The sequence below is a fragment of the Homo sapiens genome, chromosome 10 (genome assembly GCF_000001405.40).
Source record: "Homo sapiens chromosome 10, GRCh38.p14 Primary Assembly".
Taxonomy (NCBI): domain Eukaryota; kingdom Metazoa; phylum Chordata; class Mammalia; order Primates; family Hominidae; genus Homo; species Homo sapiens.
The window spans coordinates 456,705-475,120 of NC_000010.11; the positions used below are offsets into that span (position 1 = coordinate 456,705).

Genomic DNA, 18,416 nt, shown 5'->3' on the forward strand with positions numbered 1-18,416 from the left:
CAGGGCCATCTGTGTTCCCTCCCTTTTGTCTCCACTACATAGGGCCATCTGTGTTCCCTTCCACGACGATTTTTGTTCCACCGTTTCGTTCTTTGGTAAACTGCACACAAAAGCAGAGGTGTGGAGAGTTGTGCAAAATGGTCAAGACAGAGTGAAGGCAAGAAGATTTTATTTTATCCTCACTCATTCCTTCTCTAAGTCTTTTCTTCATGTGGACTGGATTCTCTGACCTGCCATGTCCAGGCTATTGATGGGCCCAGCAAAAACATACTTCATTTCTCTTACAGTGTTTATTTCTAGCATTGCCTTTTGATTCCTAGATTTTCCATCTCTCTGCTCACATATCCACCTCCAATTACGGCACAATGGTTTGAGGTTATAATCTCAATTCTTTGACAGATCTAGGAGGAGTTGCTTATTTTCGGTTTGTACAGCTTTTTGCTCAAGAGGACAAGCGTGATGACTTCCAAGCTCCTTAGGTGCTGGACTGGAAGCTACAAGTCTATGCATCTCCTATTTTATTTTATTCTTTTTATTATTGTCTCACTTCTCCCTTCTGTGGACTTAATTTTTTCTAACATGTTAAGATAAATGCTTATTTCTTCAGTTTCCAAGATGTCTTCTGACTTAATATAAAGATTTTAGTCTATAAATTCAAGTACCATTTCCACAGCATCTCACAAATTTTGATTCATCATTTTTCACCTGAAATACAACAGCCCCCTAACCTGTTTCTGCCTTCAGTCAGGAACCCAATCCAATGAAACCAATCTATCCTATATATTTCTGCTACATTGATATGTCCAAAATTCCCTCTTTAGAAATGACGAGGCACAGATAGCAAGATTAAATTCTTTTTTTTCTTTTTAGAGGCAGGGTCTCACTCTGTCACCCAGAGTGGGGTGCAGTGATGTGACAACAGCTCACTGCAGCCTCCAGCTCCTAGGTTGAAGTGATCCTTCCACCTCAGCCCCCTGGGTAGCTGGGACCACAGGTGTGTGGCCACCACACCCGGCTAGTCTTTCATCGTTTGTAGAGATGGGCTCTGACTTTGTCACCCAGGCTGGTCTCGAACTCCTGTCTTCAAGCTCTCCTCCACCTCGGCCTCCCAAAGTGCTGGCATTACAGGCGTGAGCCACTGCACCTGGCCAAAAGTCACTTTCTGTAGTGTGGGACATCTTTATGCTGCGTCCTCAGCTGTGCCTGTGGCCTCTCCTCCCACAGCTGCGGCCCCAGAGCAGCACGTGATGGGGACTGTCTGCAGGTCTGGCAACAGTCCCACCCACACCATCCAGCATGAGAGCCGCCCAGCCACCCGCCCGAAAGTGCAGTGATGAAGCAGGAGGATGATTTTATATATCATCTTAACACATTTAAATGTAAAAGGCCCCACAAGGCTACTGCCCTCATACTGGACAGGGCAGCTCCCACCAGACAGAGCCTGTCACCTCCTCTGGGGACATCACAGTGGCTACACAGTCCTACTTGGCCGCACTGTAGGCCGCCTTCTCTCCTAGCATCATTCTGATGTAAATAAGGAAGTAACACTATGTGTATTGGAATCAATGAGAAAATTGAGTTGTTCAGAGAGAACACAGGTCACAGGACAGGAACCTCATCAAAATCAGTAAATCCAGACTGACTCAGGAAAGATAAACCTTCTCAGTCTAGAAAATTAAACTTCGGCATAGAGGAGGAACTTATACGGTGACCCCCATGATGGCAGATGACCCCGTGACAGCAAGGAGGATGCCCTCTACATTCCTGCCTCACCGGCAGCGCGTGACAGAGTGCTTGGAACCTGTGACGGCAAGGATGCCCTCTACATTCCTGCGTCACCGGCAGCGTGTGACGGAGTGCTCAGAACCCGTGACGGCAAGGAGGATGTCCTCTACATTCCTGCCTCACTGGCAGCACACAGCAGAGTGCTCGGAACCCCGTGACAGCAAGGAGGATGTCCTCTACATTCCTGCCTCACCAGCAGCGCATGGCAGAGTGCTCGGAACCCATGACAGCAAGGAGGATATCCTCTACATTCCTGCCTCACCGGCAGCACATGGCAGAGTGCTCGGCACCCCGTGACGGCAAGGAGGATGCCCTCTACATTCCTGACTCACCGGCAGGGCACAGCAGAGTGCTCGGAACCCAGAATCACCTGCACATTTGCTGAAAGAATACTAGAACACAAGTCTATTTCCAAAACTGACACTAAACTATCCTCAGCATAAAATCCGCCTCAAGGATGGGTTCAGAAGCACAAGTTTCCAGTTTACCTCTCAACTTTTTCAAAAAAAAAAAAAAAAAAGCTTTAAAAATCTAACAATAGTTCTCAAACTCTTTGACCCAAAGAGCACTTTAAAGACTGTTGAAAACCTTAAAAAGCTTTTGCCAGTGGGGCTAATATTTTGATATTTGTGGCATTAGAAAGTAAATCAAAACTTTTTAAAAAACAAGATGTCACAGTCACAGAATCCACTGGCTCTCAGAACCCTCCCCCACCCCCAAACAGACAGCCAGCCTTGGAAAAACCCACTGTGCACTCAGGAGACAAAGAGTCAACAGGAGACATGGCCGTGTCATTCTGGAAAGCACAACACTGCAGACATCCCTGGGAGGGTCTCGAACCCCTGAGGGTCCCTGGGCTCTGTTGGAAGCTTGCTGTCCCAGAGGACACGGGACCGGGACATTCTACTGCAAAGGAGGGGCAAGGCTGAAGTCAGATGCTGATCCCTGAGAGGGCAGCCCAAGCCATGCATGCTCACACATGGAAGTTCTTAGTTCATCAAAAGACACAGCAGTAGCTCCACCCACATCACAGAATGGCCTGCTGCACATGGGTTCTAGTATCTTCCTCTCAGTCACATCAGGGAACCACATGCTGCACGTGGGCTCTAGGATCTTCCACAGCCACATCAGGGAACAGTGTCCTTCATCTGGGCTCTAGGGTCTTCCTCCCAGTCACATCAGGGAACGGCGTGCTGCACGTGGGCTCTAGGATCTTCCCACAATCACATCAGGGAACGGCGTGCTGCACGTGGGCTCTGGGATCTTCCTCCCAGTCACATCAGGGAACCACCTGCTGCACGTGAGCTCTAGGACCTTCCCACAGCCACATCAGGGAACTGCGTGCTGCACGTAGGCTCTAGGATCTTCCTCTCACAGTCACATCAGGGAACCACCTGCTGCACGTGAGCTCTAGGACCTTCCCAGTCACATCAGGGAACCAACCACCTGCTGCACGTGAGCTCTAGGACCTTCCCACAGTCACATCAGGGAACCACCTGCTGCACGTGAGCTCTAGTATCTTCCCACAGCCACATCAGGGAACCGCGTGCTGCACATGAGCTCTAGTATCTTCCTCCCACAGTCACATCAAGGGATCGCGTGCTGCACGTGGGCTCTAGGATCTTCCTCTCACAGTCACATCAGGGAACGGCATGCTGCACATGAGCTCTAGGATCTTCCTCTCCCAGTCTTGGGTGGAATGGGCACAACACAAGTCTCCAGGTTTTCTTTTCCAGAGTTGTTGGTTGGGGAAAAAAAGGTGATAACTAAAGCTAGAATCTAAGCTCTAACTGAGAGTTTATCAAGTAAAGGTAATGAAGTGCTTAAAATCGACTCCAATACATTCTAGGTGCTCAATAAATGCCAGCTCATTCACTTACTTCCCAAATCAAGCTCAAGTTCCAAAAGAAAGCTATTTATAAAGAGAAGATATGTACTATGATGAAGAGCTTTCATAAGAATTCATTACAAAGTAAGGTCATGGGTTTAGAAATGAAATGAGAAAATACATCCAGTAGAGGTTAAATGGCTGAGTAGATTAATTATTAACTAGGTCAATTATGTAAGCAATAACAAAATTATTTCTGGGCTGCTAAAATTCAGTCATTGATGGGGAGAATGGAACAAGTTGGAAAACACTCTTCAGGATATTATCCAGGAGAACTTCCCCAACCAACCAAGACAGGCCCACATTCAAATTGAGAAATACAGAGAATATCACGAAGATACTCCTTGAGAAAAGCAACCCCAAGACACATAATTGTCAGATTCACCAAGATTAAAATGAAGGAAAAAATGTTAAGGGCAGCCAGAGAGAAAGGTAGGGTTACCCACAAAGGGAAGCTCATCAGACTAACAGCGGATCTCTCTGCAGAAACCCGACATGCCAGAAGAGAGTGGGGGCCAATATTCAACATTCTTAAAGAATTTTCAACCCAGAATTTCCTATCCAGCCAAACTAAGCTTTGTAAGTGAAGGAGAAATATAATCATTTACAGACAAGCAGATGCTGAGAGATTCTGTCACCACCAGGTCTGCCTTACAAGAGCTCCTGAAGGAAGCACTAAATATGGAGACGAAAAACTGGTACCAGCCACTGCAAAAACATAACAAATTGTAAAGACCACTGACACTGTGAAGAAACTGCATCAACTAATGGGCAAAATAACCAGCTAGCATCATAATGACAGGATCGAATTCACACATAACAATATTAACCTTAAATGTAAATGGGCTAAATGCCCCCATTAAAAGACACAGACTGGCAAACTGGATAGAGTCAAGACCCGTTGGTGTGCTGTATTCAGGAGACCTATCTCATGTGCAAAGACACACATAGGCTCAAAATAAAGGATGGAGGAATATTTACAAAGCAAAAAAAGCATGAGTTGCAATCCTGGTCTCTGATAAAACATACTTTAAACCAACAAAGATCAAAAAAGACAAAGAAGGGCATTACACAATGGCAAAGGGATCAATACAACAAGAAGGGCCAACTATCCTAAATATATACATACCCAATACAGGAGCACCCAGATTCATAAAGCAAGTTCTTAGATACCTACCAAGAGACTTAGACTCCCACACAGTAACAGTGGGAGGCTTTAACACCCCAACGTCAGTATTAGACAGATTGAGACAGAAAATTAACAAGGATATTCAGGACTTGAACTCAGCTCTGGGCCAAGCGGACCTAATAGACATCTACAAAACTCTCCACCCCAAATCAATAGGATATACCTTCTTCTCAGCACCAAATTGCACCTATTCTAAAACTGACCACATAATTGGAAGTAAAACACTCAACAAATGCAAAAGGATGGAAATCATAACAAACAGTCTCTCAGACTACAGTGCAATCAAATTAGAACTCACAGTTAAGAAACTCACTCAAAACTGCACAAATACATGGAAACTGAACAACCTGCTCCTGAATGACTACTGGGTAAATAATGAAATTAAGGCAGAAATAAATAAGTTCTTTGAAACCAATGAGAACAAAAGACAATGTACCAGAATCTCTGGGACACAGATAAAGAGGTGTGTAGAGGGAAATTTATAGCACTAAATGCCCACAAGAAAAAGCAGGAAAGATCTAAAATCGATACCCTAACATCATAATTAAAAGAACTAGAGAAGAAAGAGCAAACAAATTCAAAAGCTAGCAGAAGACAAGAAATAACTAAGATCAGAGCAGAAATGAAGGAGACAGAGACACGAAAAACTCTTCAAAAAAATCAATGAATCCAGGAGCTGGTTTTTGGAAAAGATCAACAAAATAGATAGACCACTAGCCAGACAAAGAAGAAAAGAGAGAAGAATCAAATAGACACAATAAGAAATGATAAAGGGGATATCACCACTGATCCCACAGAAATACAAACTACCAGAGAATACTGTAAACATCTCTATGCAAATAAACTAGAAAATCTAGAAGAAATGGATAAATTCCAGGACACATACACCCTCTCAAGACTAAACCAGGTAGAAGCTGAATCCCTGAATAGACCAATAACAAGTTCTGAAATTGAGGCAGGAATTAATAGCCTACCAACCAAAAAAAGTCCAGGACCAGACGAATTCACAGCCAACTCTTACCAGAGGTACAAAGAGGAGCTGGTAGCATTCCTTCTGAAACTATTCCAAAACAATAGAAAAGAGGGGCTCCTCCCTAACTCATTTTATGAGGCCACCATCATCCTGATACCAAAACCTGGCAGACACACAACAAAAAAAGAAAATGTCAGGCCGATATCCCTGATGAACATCAATGTGAAAATCCTCAATAAAATGCTGGCAAACTGAATCCAGCAGAAAGCCGATCCACCATGATCAAATAGGCTTCATCCCTGGGATGCAAGGCTGGTTCAATATATGCAAATCAATAAATGTAATCCATCACATCAACAGAACTAATGACAAAAACCACATGATTATCCCAATAGATGCAGAAAAGGCCTTTGATAAAATTCAGCATCCCTTCATGCTAAAAACTCTCAATAAACTAGATATTGATGGAACACATCTCAAAATAATAAGAGCTATTTATGACAAACCAACAGCCAATATCATACTGAATGGGCAAAAACTGGAAGCATTACTTTGAAAACTGGCACAAGACAAGGATGCCCTCTCTCAACATAGTATTGGAAGTTCTAGCCACAATCAGGCAAGAGAAAGAAAGAAAGGGTATTCAAATAGGAAGAGAGAAAGTCAAATTGTTTCTGTTTACAGATGACATGATTGTTATTTAGAAAACCCCATCATCTCAGCCCAAAATCTCCTTAAGCTGATAAGCAACTTCAGCAAAGTCTCAGGATACAAAATCAATGTGCAAAAATCACAAGCATTCTTATACCCCAATAATAGACCAACAGGGGGCCAAATCATGAACTCCCATTCACAATTGCTACAAAGAGAATAAAATACCTAGGAATACAACTTACAAGGGATGTGAAGGACCTCTTCAAGGAGAACTATAAACCACTGCTCAAGGAAAGAAGAGAAGACACAAACAAATGGAAAATCATTCCATGCTCATGGATAGGAAGAATATCATGAAAATGGCCATATTGCCCAAAGTAATTTATAAATTCAATGCTATCCCCATCGAGCTACCATTGACTTTCTTCACAGAATTGGAAAAAACTACTTTAAATTTCATATGGAACCAAAAAACAGAGCCCACATAGCCAAGACAATCCTAAGCAAAAAGAACAAAGCTGGAGGCATCACACTACCTGACTTCAAACTATAGACAAGGCTACAGTAACCAAAACAGCATGGTACTGGTACCAAAATAGAGATATAGACCAAGGGAACAGAACAGAGGCCTCAGAAAAGAACACCACACATCTACAACCATCTGATCTTTGACAAACCTGACAAAAAGCAAGCAATGGGGAAATTATTCCCTATTTAATAAATGGTGTTGGGGAAACAGGCTAGCCATAAGCAGAAAACTGAAACTGGACCCCTTCTGTACACCTTATACAAAAATTAACTCAAATTGGTTTAAAAACTTAAACGTAAGACGTAAAACCATAAAAACTCTACAAGAAAACCTAGGCAAAACCATTCAGTACATAGACATGGCCAAAGACTTCAATACTAAAACACCAAAAGCAATAGCAACAAAAGCCAAAATTGACAAATGGCATCTAATTAAACTAAAGTGCTTCTGCACAGCAAAATAAACTACCATCAGAGTGAACAGGCAACCTACAGAATGGGAGAAAATTTTTGCAATCCATCCATCTGACAAAGGGCTAATATCCAGCATCTACAAAGAACTTAAACAAATTTACAAGAAAAAACAACCCCATCAAGAAGTGGACAAAGGTTATGAACAGACACTTCTCAAAAGAAGACATTTATGTGGCCAACAAACTTAGAAAAAAAAAAAAGCTCATCATCACTGGTCATTAGAAAAATGCAAATCAAAACCACAATGAGATACCATTCCACGCCAGTTAGAATGGTTATCATTAAAAAGTCAGGCAACAACAGATGCTGGAGAGGATGTGAAGAAACACCACTGAGGGAAGTGTAAATTAGTTCAACCATTGTGGAAGAGTGTGGTGATTCCTCAAGGATCTAGAACCAGAAATACCATTTGATCAAGCAATCCCATTACTGGGTATACACCCAAAGGATTATAAATCATGATACTATAAAGACACATACAAACGTATGTTTATTGCAGCACTGTTCACAATAGCAAAAACTCGGATCCAACCCAAATGCCCATCAATGATAGACTGGATAAAGAAAATGTGGCTAAACTAGAAAATCTAGAAGAAATGGATACATTCCTCGACACATACTCTCTCCCAAGACTAAACCAGGAAGAAGTTGAATCTCTGAATAGACCAATAACAGGATCTGAAATTGTGGCAATAATCAATAGTTTACCAACCAAAAAGAGTCCAGGACCAGATGGATTCACAGCCGAATTCTACCAGAGGTACAAGGAGGAACTGGTACCATTCCTTCTCAAACTATTCCAATCAATAGAAAAAGAGGGAATCCTCCCTAACTCATTTTATGAGGCCAGCATCATTCTGATACCAAAGCCAGGCAGAGACACAACCAAAAAAGAGAATTTTAGACCAATATCCTTGATGAACATTGATGCAAAAATCCTCAATAAAATACTGGCAAACCGAATCCAGCAGCACATCAAAAAGCTTATCCACCATGATCAAGTGGGCTTCATCCCTGGGATGCAAGGCTGGTTCAATATACTCAAATCAATAAATGTAATCCAGCATATAAACAGAGCCAAAGACAAAAACCACATGATTATCTCAATAGATGCAGAAAAAGCCTTTGACAAAATTCAACAACCCTTCATGCTAAAAACTCTCAATAAATTAGGTATTGATGGGACATATTTCAAAATAATAAGAGCTATCTATGACAAACCCACAGCCAATATCATACTGAATGGGCATAAACTGGAAGCATTCCCTTTGAAAACTGGCACGACACAGGGATGCCCTCTCTCACCACTCCTATTCAACATAGTGTTGGAAGTTCTGGCCAGGGCAATCAGGCAGGAGAAGGAAACAAAGGGTATTCAATTAGGAAAAGAGGAAGTCAAATTGTCCCTGTTTGCAGACAACATGATTGTTTATCTAGAAAACCCCATTGTCTCAGCCCAAAATCTCCTTAAGCTGATAAGCAACTTCAGCAAAGTCTCAGGATACAAAATCAATGTACAAAAATCACAAGCATTCTTATACACCAACAGCAGACAAACAGAGAGCCAAATCATGAGTGAACTCCCATTCACAATTGCTTCAAAGAGAATAAAATACCTAGGAATCCAACTTACAAGGGATGTGAAGGACCTCTTCAAGGAGAACTACAAACCACTGCTCAAGGAAATAAAAGAGGATACAAACAAATGGAAGAACATTCCATGCTCTTGGGTAGGAAGAATCAATATCGTGAAAATGGCCATACTGCCCAAGGTGATTTACAGATTCAATGACATCCCCATCAAGCTACCAATGACTTTCTTCACAGAATTGGAAAAAACTACTTTAAAGTTCATATGGAACCAAAAAAGAGCCCGCATCACCAAGTCAATCCTAAGCCAAAAGAACAAAGCTGGAGGCATCACACTACCTGACTTCAAACTTTACTACAAAGCTACAGTAACCAAAACAGCATGGTACTGGTACCAAAACAGAGATATAGATCAATGGAACAGAACAGAGCCTGCAGAAATAATGCCACATACCTACAACTATCTGATCTTTGACAAACCTGAGAAAAACAAGCAATGGGGAAAGGATTCCCTATTTAATAAATGGTGCTGGGAAAACTGGCTAGCCATATGTAGAAAGCTGAAACTGGATCCCTTCCTTACACCTTATACAAAAATCAATTCAAGATGGATTAAAGACTTAAACGTTAGACCTAAAACCATAAAAACCCTAGAAGAAAACCTAGGCATTACCATTCAGGACATAGGCGTGGGCAAGGACTTCATGTCCAAAACACCAAAAGCAATGGCAACAAAAGACAAAATTGACAAATGGGATCTGATTAAACTAAAGAGCTTCTGCACAGCAAAAGAAACTACCATCAGAGTGAACAAGCAACCTATAACATGGGAGAAAATTTTCACAACCTACTCATCTGACAAAGGGCTAATATCCAGAATCTACAATGAACTCAAACAAATTTACAAGAAAAAAACAACCCCATCAAAAAGTGGGCAAAGGACATGAACAGACACTTCTCAAAAGACATTTATGCAGCCAAAAAACACATGAAAAAATGCTCATCATCACTGGCCGTCAGAGAAATGCAAATCAAAACCACTATGAGATATCATCGCACACCAGTTAGAATGGCAATCATTAAAAAGTCAGGAAACAACAGGTGCTGGAGAGGATGTGGAGAAATAGGAACACTTTTACACTGTTGGTGGGACTGTCAACTAGTTCAACCATTGTGGAAGTCAGTGTGGCGATTCCTCAGGGATCTAGAACTAGAAATACCATTTGACCCAGCCATCCCATTACTGGGTATATACCCAAATGACTATAAATCATGCTGCTATAAAGACACATGCACACGTATGTTTATTGCGGCATTACTCACAATAGCAAAGACTTAGAACCAACCCAAATGTCCAACAATGATAGACTGGATTAAGAAAATGTGGCACATATACACCATGGAATACTATGCAGCCATAAAATGATGAGTTCATGTCCTTTGTAGGGACATGGATGAAATTGGACACCATCATTCTCAGTAAACTATCGCAAAAACGAAAAACCAAACACCACATATTCTCACTCATAGGTGGGAATTGAACAATGAGATCACATGGACACAGGAAGGGGAATATCACACTCTGGGGACTGTGGTGGGGTGGGGGGAGGTGGGAGGGATAGCATTGGGAGATATACCTAATGCTAGATGACGAGTTAGTGGGTGCAGCGCACCAGCATGGCATATGTATACATATGTAACTAACCTGCACAATGTGCACATGTACCCTAAAACTTAAAGTATAAAAAAAAAATAAATAAAATAAAAATTATTTAAGTGTAAAAAAAAAAAAAAAAGAAAATGTGGCATATATATACCATGGAATAGTATGCAGCCATAAAAAACGGGTAAATTCATGTCCTTTGCAGGGACATGGATGAAGCTGGAAGCCATCATTCTCAGTCAACTAACACCAGAACAGAAAACTAAACACCACTTGTTCTCACTCATAAATGGGAGTTGAACAATGAGAACACATGGACACAGGGAGGGGAACATCACACACTAGGGCCTGTTGGGTGCTGGAGGACTACAGGAGGGATAGCATTAGGAGAAATACCTAATGTAGGTGATGGGTTGATGGGTGCAGCAAAGCACCATGGCACATGTATACGTATGTAACAAACCTGCATGTTCTGCACATGTACTCCAGAACTTAAAGTATAATAAAAAATATATATAAATTAAAAAATTCAGTCCCTGGGGCAACCACAGTAGCTCTACTGCAAGATGAGTGGTCACAGACCTCGAGCTGCCAAGTCTCCCTAGAAGCCACAGCCCTTTCCTTGTGAATGATTCCAGTCTTCGCGGTCGGTTCAGGAGAAAGAAAAAAGCAGACAGAAAATTGTGAAATCTGTCTATTGGTAATAAACTAACATAAGCTCCTCTTATCTCACACCTTATTGTTAAAACCACGTGAGCATATACTCTAAGTAAATTATAGTATATCTAAATTTAGAGAACTCACAACTAGATTCCTGTAACAGCAAGAAACAGCAAAGAATAAGGAAACCCAGTAATGACCCCATGCCCCTCCTGCTTTCCTGAAGGGTGGCTGCCATGACACATAAAGGGGAGTTGCTCTGTGTTGGCTACAGAAAATGAGAACCCCACCTGAGACTTCACAGGCAATGCAAAGGTCATGGGGTGCGCTCCATATGCCAATCAGTCATTATTGATTAAAACAAAGATGAGACCAGGTGCAGTGGCTCACACCTGTAATCCCAGCACGTTGGGAGGCCAAGGCAGGTGGATCACTTGAGGTCGGGAGTTCTAGACCAGCCTGACCAACATGGAGAAACCCTGTTTCTACTAAAAATACAAAATTAGCAAGGCATGGTGGCGCATGCCTGTAATCCCAGCTACTTGAGAGGCCGAGGCAGGAGAATCGCTTGAACCCACGAGGCAGAGTTTGTGGCGTGACCTGTGTCACACCACAGAGATCACACCATTGCACTCCAGCCTGGGCAACAAGAGTGAAACTCCATCTCAAAAACAAACAAAAAAAGATGAGTACCCAACTTTTAAAAACTACAACGGCATCCATGGAGTAATAGTGCTTTCCATTATATCTCAAATAAATGACACTTCAAGGACTGTCTTCCTAATCGTTCATAGTATCTTCTACACAGTAAGGCAAATTCTACCACCTGTAACCTATACACAGTAAGCTTGATTCCCTAAAGAGAAGGAGCTGTGGAATTGGAGACCATCATCTGTGCAGGTGCATGAGCTGACACCTTGGTGTCACCCTGGGTGCAGAATTGGAGACCATCATCTGTGCAGGTGCATAACTAGGACATCTCGGATTCACCCTGGGAGCAGAATTGGAGACCATTATCTGTGCAGGTGCATAAGCTGGACATCTCGGAGTCACTCTGGGTGCAGAATCGGAGACTATCCTCTGTGCAGGTGCATAACTAGGACATCAAGGTCACCCTGATTTCCTCTCATGTTCCTCCATATTAACCCAACCTTCAGGTCCTATTGCTATTATCTTTTGAGCATTTCTCAAATCTCACTGGTACTGATTTTTTTTTTTTTTTTTTTGAGACACAGTCTCACTCTGTCGCCGAGGCTGGAGTGCAGTGGTATGATCTCAGGTCACGGCAACCTCCACCTCCCGGGTTCAAGAGATTCTCCCACCTCAGCCTCTGGAATAGCTGGGATTACAGGCATGCACCACCATGCCTGGCTAATTTTTGTATTTTTCATAGAGATGGGGTTTCGCCATGTTGGCCACACTGGTCTTGAACTCCTGAACTCAAGTGATCTGCCCGCCTCGGCCTCCCAAAGTGCTGGGACTACAGGCATGAGCCACAGCACCCAGCCCTGACAGATATCTCTTAAGTACACATCAGTTTCAGGCATTCAGGGTTGTTTGGACTCCCCCACTTTCAGCCCATGCTCCATGCTGCTGCTAAAGTGATCTTCAAACCCTGACTGGCCCCCACTGTCCCTTCACCTAAAATATTCTAGTGGATCCCATCATCTTCAGGATCAAGTCCAAATTCCCGAGCGTGATGCACAAGATGCTATAACCCAGCCGCTCCTACCTAACTTCTTGCCGTTCCCCAAATGTGTCACACTCCCTCATCTTCCTTCAAAATATAGAAGCCAGGCAGTATTTCAGGTGCTTGGCCTACACGAATGAACAGAACAGAGATCCTGGCCTGTGTGGACCTCGTATTCTTATGGAAGAAAGTGAGAGGTGGGGAGGTGGATGGTGGAAGAATGGCTGAGTAGTGGGGTAAATGGATGAAATGTTTGATAGATGGACGGATGGTGGACGTAAATGGATGCTTGATAGGTAAGTAGATGATTGGCGAATATGTAGACAGATGCAGAGAGGTTGATAAATGGATGGATGATTGACAGGTAGGTAAATAACGAATACACAGACATGCAGATAGACAGAGTATCATGTGGTTATAATGGCGATGGAGACATGAGTCAGGATGGGGAACGGGAGAGATTGTGTGTGAAGAGGCGCCATATTTCACAATTTTACAAAAACAGGAGAAATGAACCGTGCTTCTCACGTTGGGTCTAGCTTCCCCTCCAGAGCAGAGCCTGCAGACTCTGAGCTGAAGTGTCGGTCTCCTCCACCCATCCTGCCACTCTCAGCCACCCCCTCTGCCATGTGCCTCTCTCTTCCACACCTTCCTGCCTTTGAAGAGGTGAGGTAAGGTGCACGGATGAACAGAAAACGCACCCCAAGCCAAGAGATAACCATCTCCTACTACACCCACCTCTCTCAGGCTTTTATCAAGAGAGAAGACCGTGAGACAACCACAACCCGCCATGCTTATCTCGTGGAGTAGCTGGGATTGTGAAGATGGCATGATCCGAAGGTAAACACAGGGTTTATCAACACCCCTGCAGCATCGTGGAGAGAGAGAGAATGTAGGAAACACGCAGTGGCGACTGACGCGGATCTCCTGTGTGGTAAGATGGCCGGCCAAAGATGGGCTTGCATCCTCCTGCGAGGAGCGACCCCGTGTGATCGTCAGCCATTGGACAGCCTCCCTGAACTTCAGTTTCCTCATCTATAAAATGGAAGATAGACCCCCACTGGCCTCTGTGAGAACTGAAGCCATGTGAACTCAGCCTGCGTGCATGTCTGGGTGTGTTGTGTGTTCACAGACAGGGTGTCTGCATGGCAGCACTGACACACAGTGAGGGAAGCGTTGGTCACAGGCTGACAGTACGCAGGTGCCTCCACACTCCTGAACTCGACAGGGGCCTCCGAGACACCCACATGAGTAAGAGAAGGTCTCAATATGTGTCGGGGCTTAAGACAGGTGTGAAACAACAGAGGGTGGATTTGGGAACAAATTCTCCTTCATTCCATCCGCACACATTTTCCTGGGTCACAGCCTCCTTGGAGAAGGCAGCAGGGGCGCCCAGGAGGTGGCACCAGCTTTTCATTCAGGCTCTCAGGTGTGTCCTCTTTTGCATGGGTGACACTCTCTGAGGCCATAAAATCTCCTCTCCAGAAAGAGGAGCAGAGCCAGGAGGCCAGGCAGACGGCAACTGAGGATGCAGAAGCAGCTAATCACATGAGCCTGCATGGACAGAGAGATTCATTACAGCACGACTGACACTCACAGGCTTCCTCGACCACCAGGTGAGTTCCGAGACTCACAGGCTTTCCTCGAACACCAGGTGAGTTCCGTCATCCCTTAGCCTCACTTTTTTCTTCTGACACAGAAGACAACAGTCACGACTTCACCTGCTTATCATGAAAGCTCCATGTGAGAACAATGTGAGGATGCCAGTGAAGGGCATTTGCAAAACAAAGGGATTCACGAATCGGGTCCATCACCAGCGATCGCCCCTACCCTCACCGGTGCCCTGGGAACTACAAAAGAATTCACAGGTAATTTTCTTTTAAAGAAGCAACTTTAACCTACATGTTGGAAAAACTCTCTCAGAATAATTCAAACATTAATCACAGCCTGAGTTTTTGTTGTTGTTGTTTTTGAGATGGAGTTTTGCTCTGTTGCCCAGGCTGGAGTGCAGTGGCGTGATCTCGGCTCACTGCAACCTCCGCCTCCCAGGTTCAAGCATTTCTCCTGCCTCAGCCTGATGAGTAGCTAGGACTACAGGTGCCCACCACCACGCCCGACAGCCTAAGTTTTCTGTTGCTAAATTAATGAAATTTCAGCTGGCCAAGCCCAGGTGGCACTGGCAACTCAGTCTCCAGACAACCCTGTGCAGACGGCATCATAAAACACAGATGAAAGACAGGAAACACATAACAATGTATGGTTTTCATTTCTGTTTAGAAAAGTAGACCTAGAAAACAAATCACTGATGGTAAGAAAAAGAAAAAACTATACTAGCAACCACGATTAAAAAGTTATTTAACAGTGACACCTAAAAAAGAAAAATTTGGCACGAGATTATAATCTTTTTAATTAATATGCAATTCTGAATAGTAGCCAACATGGGCTTGTAAACCACGTGAAGAGCTATTTACCGGACACTGGCGTCTCCCGAGAGGGTGTGTCCGTGCAGAAAGCTGGAGGCCCCTCGCGTGCTGCAGGTCCACGCCCACTGCACTTCTGCCTCGCCCAGTGGCTGGGCACAGGCACCGTCCTGGCACAGGTGGCAGATGGACGTATTGTATCACCCCACCCCGTGCTTACCTGACCGATAGCGCTCATCTCGTGACCCTGAAGACCGTCGGCGGTGGTAGCGAGAGGCGGAGGAAGGAGTGACAGGAGCCCGGCGTTCTTGCGGCAAAGCTTGGTCCACCCCTGGATTTCAATAAAAACAGCAGAGTGAGGTGTGACTGTACTCAGCGGAGTCAGCAGACTCTAACAAATCATGCCCTCCATCCCCACAGCAAAGCCAGAGCTACCCACGGGACTGGGCATGGCGGCGCCTCAGAGCCCACAGACAGGAGGGCCAGGACTGAGGAGGAAGCTCTCCCACCGCCAGGGAGACCCCTCCTGGCTAGACGCCGCCACGGTCCCTTTCACAGCACAAAGGTCCACTGACAGGCAGGGAGAGACACAAACTCAGCCACAGGTGGCAACTGAATTCCTGGGAGTCAGGATTAGAGCAACAGGGCCCAAGACATAGACTCAAGTTATGACCTTTTAATGTAATAAATATACAGAATGAGCTGTATAAGCTCTTAAGAAAATTTAAAAGTATATTTGTTATTAAAGTAATTGTTAAAATAAATCTTAGATAATAATTTAACAATATAATTCAGGTAACCAGGACATACCATGAACGTCCAGCTTTGCTCATTCCAGATTACTCTCTGGAAACTTACTCCATTGGATGCCAAGTGTTTTAACAGATTATGTTCGACTATGAATCACAATTACTTGGTGAATAACAAAAAACATTAATGCGGTCAGATAAAAACGGTTTAATGGTATTGGTCAAAACATTGATGTGAATCCACCTGTCACATATTGATTACATTCAGGCAATAACAGGGTGGCAAGGAACACAACTAGACAAAACTAAGCCCCCAAAGGAAGGACATCATCATCACAGTTCCACGAAGAACTACTCTGACACCACGGGAACAATATCACCCCACAGTTCCATGAACAGCTCTGATACCACAGAAAGGACATCATCCTATGTCATCCCCACAGTTCCGTGAACGGCTCTGATACCACAGAAAGGACGTCATCCTATGTCATCCCCACAGTTCTGTGAACGGCTCTGATATCACAGAAAGGACGTCACCCCCACAGCTCCGTGAACGGCTCTGATACCACAGGAAGGACGTCATCCTATGTCATCCCCACAGTTCTGTGAACGGCTCTGATACCACAGAAAGGACGTCATCCTACGCCGTCCCCACAGCTCCGTGAACGGCTCTGATACCACAGGAAGGACGTCATCCTACGTCGTCCCCACAGTTCCATGAAGAACTGCTCTAAGAGTGAGCACCAATCACTAATAGATGCTTCTTCAGAAATGGATCAGTAATATCTGATTGAAAGTAAACCAGAAATAAAAGTTTTAAGTTAACAAAAGAAATATTTAGTCCCTGGTTTTCCATGATGGGCTCTTATGAGAGTTGTAGAGTCTGTGGACTTCATATTCCTTACTCTGGTGGTTTCTGAACATCAGCTTTTGATGGTGCGTGTGTGGGTCTCATGTATCAGGCTGGCGAATTCAGAACTAAGTTAAGCATGGCTCCTACACCGTCATTTTGCTAAGTTTCATGTGCTTTTCTTTCAGGGCATCCAAATCACCATCAGTTCCTGAGGACTGAACTGTCTGCTGCTCCAACCTCTTCCAGTCATCATCTACAACTGATCTTTTAAAAATGATCTTCAATTACCTTTTTATCAAACAGATGCATTTTAGGAAATCAAAGAGTATTATCAAGTCTCACATGAAAAACAGTAGCTACCTGGCACTTACATTCATAAACATGGACTTACCACATGACTTCCTGAATTGTCCTTTTTAGACACCACCCCTTACGCCACTGTGGTCATCAACATCAGCGTCCGCAGTGTGCTACAAATACCGTTCTATCTTACGCTTTTCAATGATTCTGGAGTTAATATTTTATCTATTTTCCACTATCTTGGCTTACAATGTACCTATTGCCAATCCTTTCACAATTCTCCAGCAGAACTGAAAAACTCTTTCCCATACCTTCCTGCCCACGATCAAACACTGACAACCTGGTGAGAATCTGTTCAATTTTCCTGGAAGTCCTCTTGGAGCCCCCGCCCCAGTCCCAAACGTGCTACCGTCACTGGGCCACGCCTTTCTTCCCGCTGGCTGTGGCTGCTGTGTTGGTCACTTGTTCTCATGCTCTTCAATGCCCCCTCGTCTCTCCACACTCCCGTGCTAAAGGAGCACCTTGAATGTTTCAGAAAGGAAGAACCAGAAGGAACACTTGGGGGCCCCACACATCCGAAAGTGCTTCTCTTTCTACCCCAGTGAGACCGAGTCTTTCGCCTAGATACGGACTTCTGGGTGAAAATTACTTTTATTCATTGCCTTTCATTTCCATTATTGGTGAGAAGTTAAACTTCACTCTGATGCTATAATCCTTATGTAATACCCATTCCTTTCTCTTCTCCTTCAATAATCTTTTATTCATTCCCACTGGAGGAGCTGCAAGCCAGGTTGTAATATCCATTCCTTTCTTTTCTCCCTCGATAATCTTTTTGCTGCAAATCAGGTTTTTCTTCTCACGGGGGCACACCACCAAATCTCTCCCCAAGGAAGGCTTCAACGGGGCTGTTTCGTTTGCCCGAAGAGCCCTCTCCTCTCCTGTTTCCAACACAGGCATGTTCACCCTCTAACCTGGAGCCTCTGTTGTCAGTATCATCCCC

General features: G+C 44.0%; 1 protein-coding gene across 7 annotated transcripts in view, besides 1 other annotated feature; it reads right to left on the reverse strand.

Moving 5' to 3' along the window:
• The window catches only part of DIP2C (disco interacting protein 2 homolog C), a 415,468-nt gene that overhangs the window by 182,504 nt on the left and 214,548 nt on the right, over positions 1-18,416 (reverse strand). For all 7 annotated transcript variants that reach the window (NM_014974.3, XM_005252427.5, XM_005252426.4 and 4 more), the window contains one exon: positions 15,735-15,845. In NM_014974.3, coding sequence (NP_055789.1) covers positions 15,735-15,845 — 111 coding nt within the window. The remainder of the gene's footprint in view (positions 1-15,734; positions 15,846-18,416) is intronic.
• Positions 13,704-14,219: an enhancer, noted in NCBI's record as "nonconserved acetylation island sequence 51". NCBI's record gives its function as "activates a minimal heat-shock promoter by reporter assays in Jurkat T cells {active_cell/tissue: Jurkat}" and the evidence as "EXISTENCE:reporter gene assay evidence [ECO:0000049][PMID:17135569]".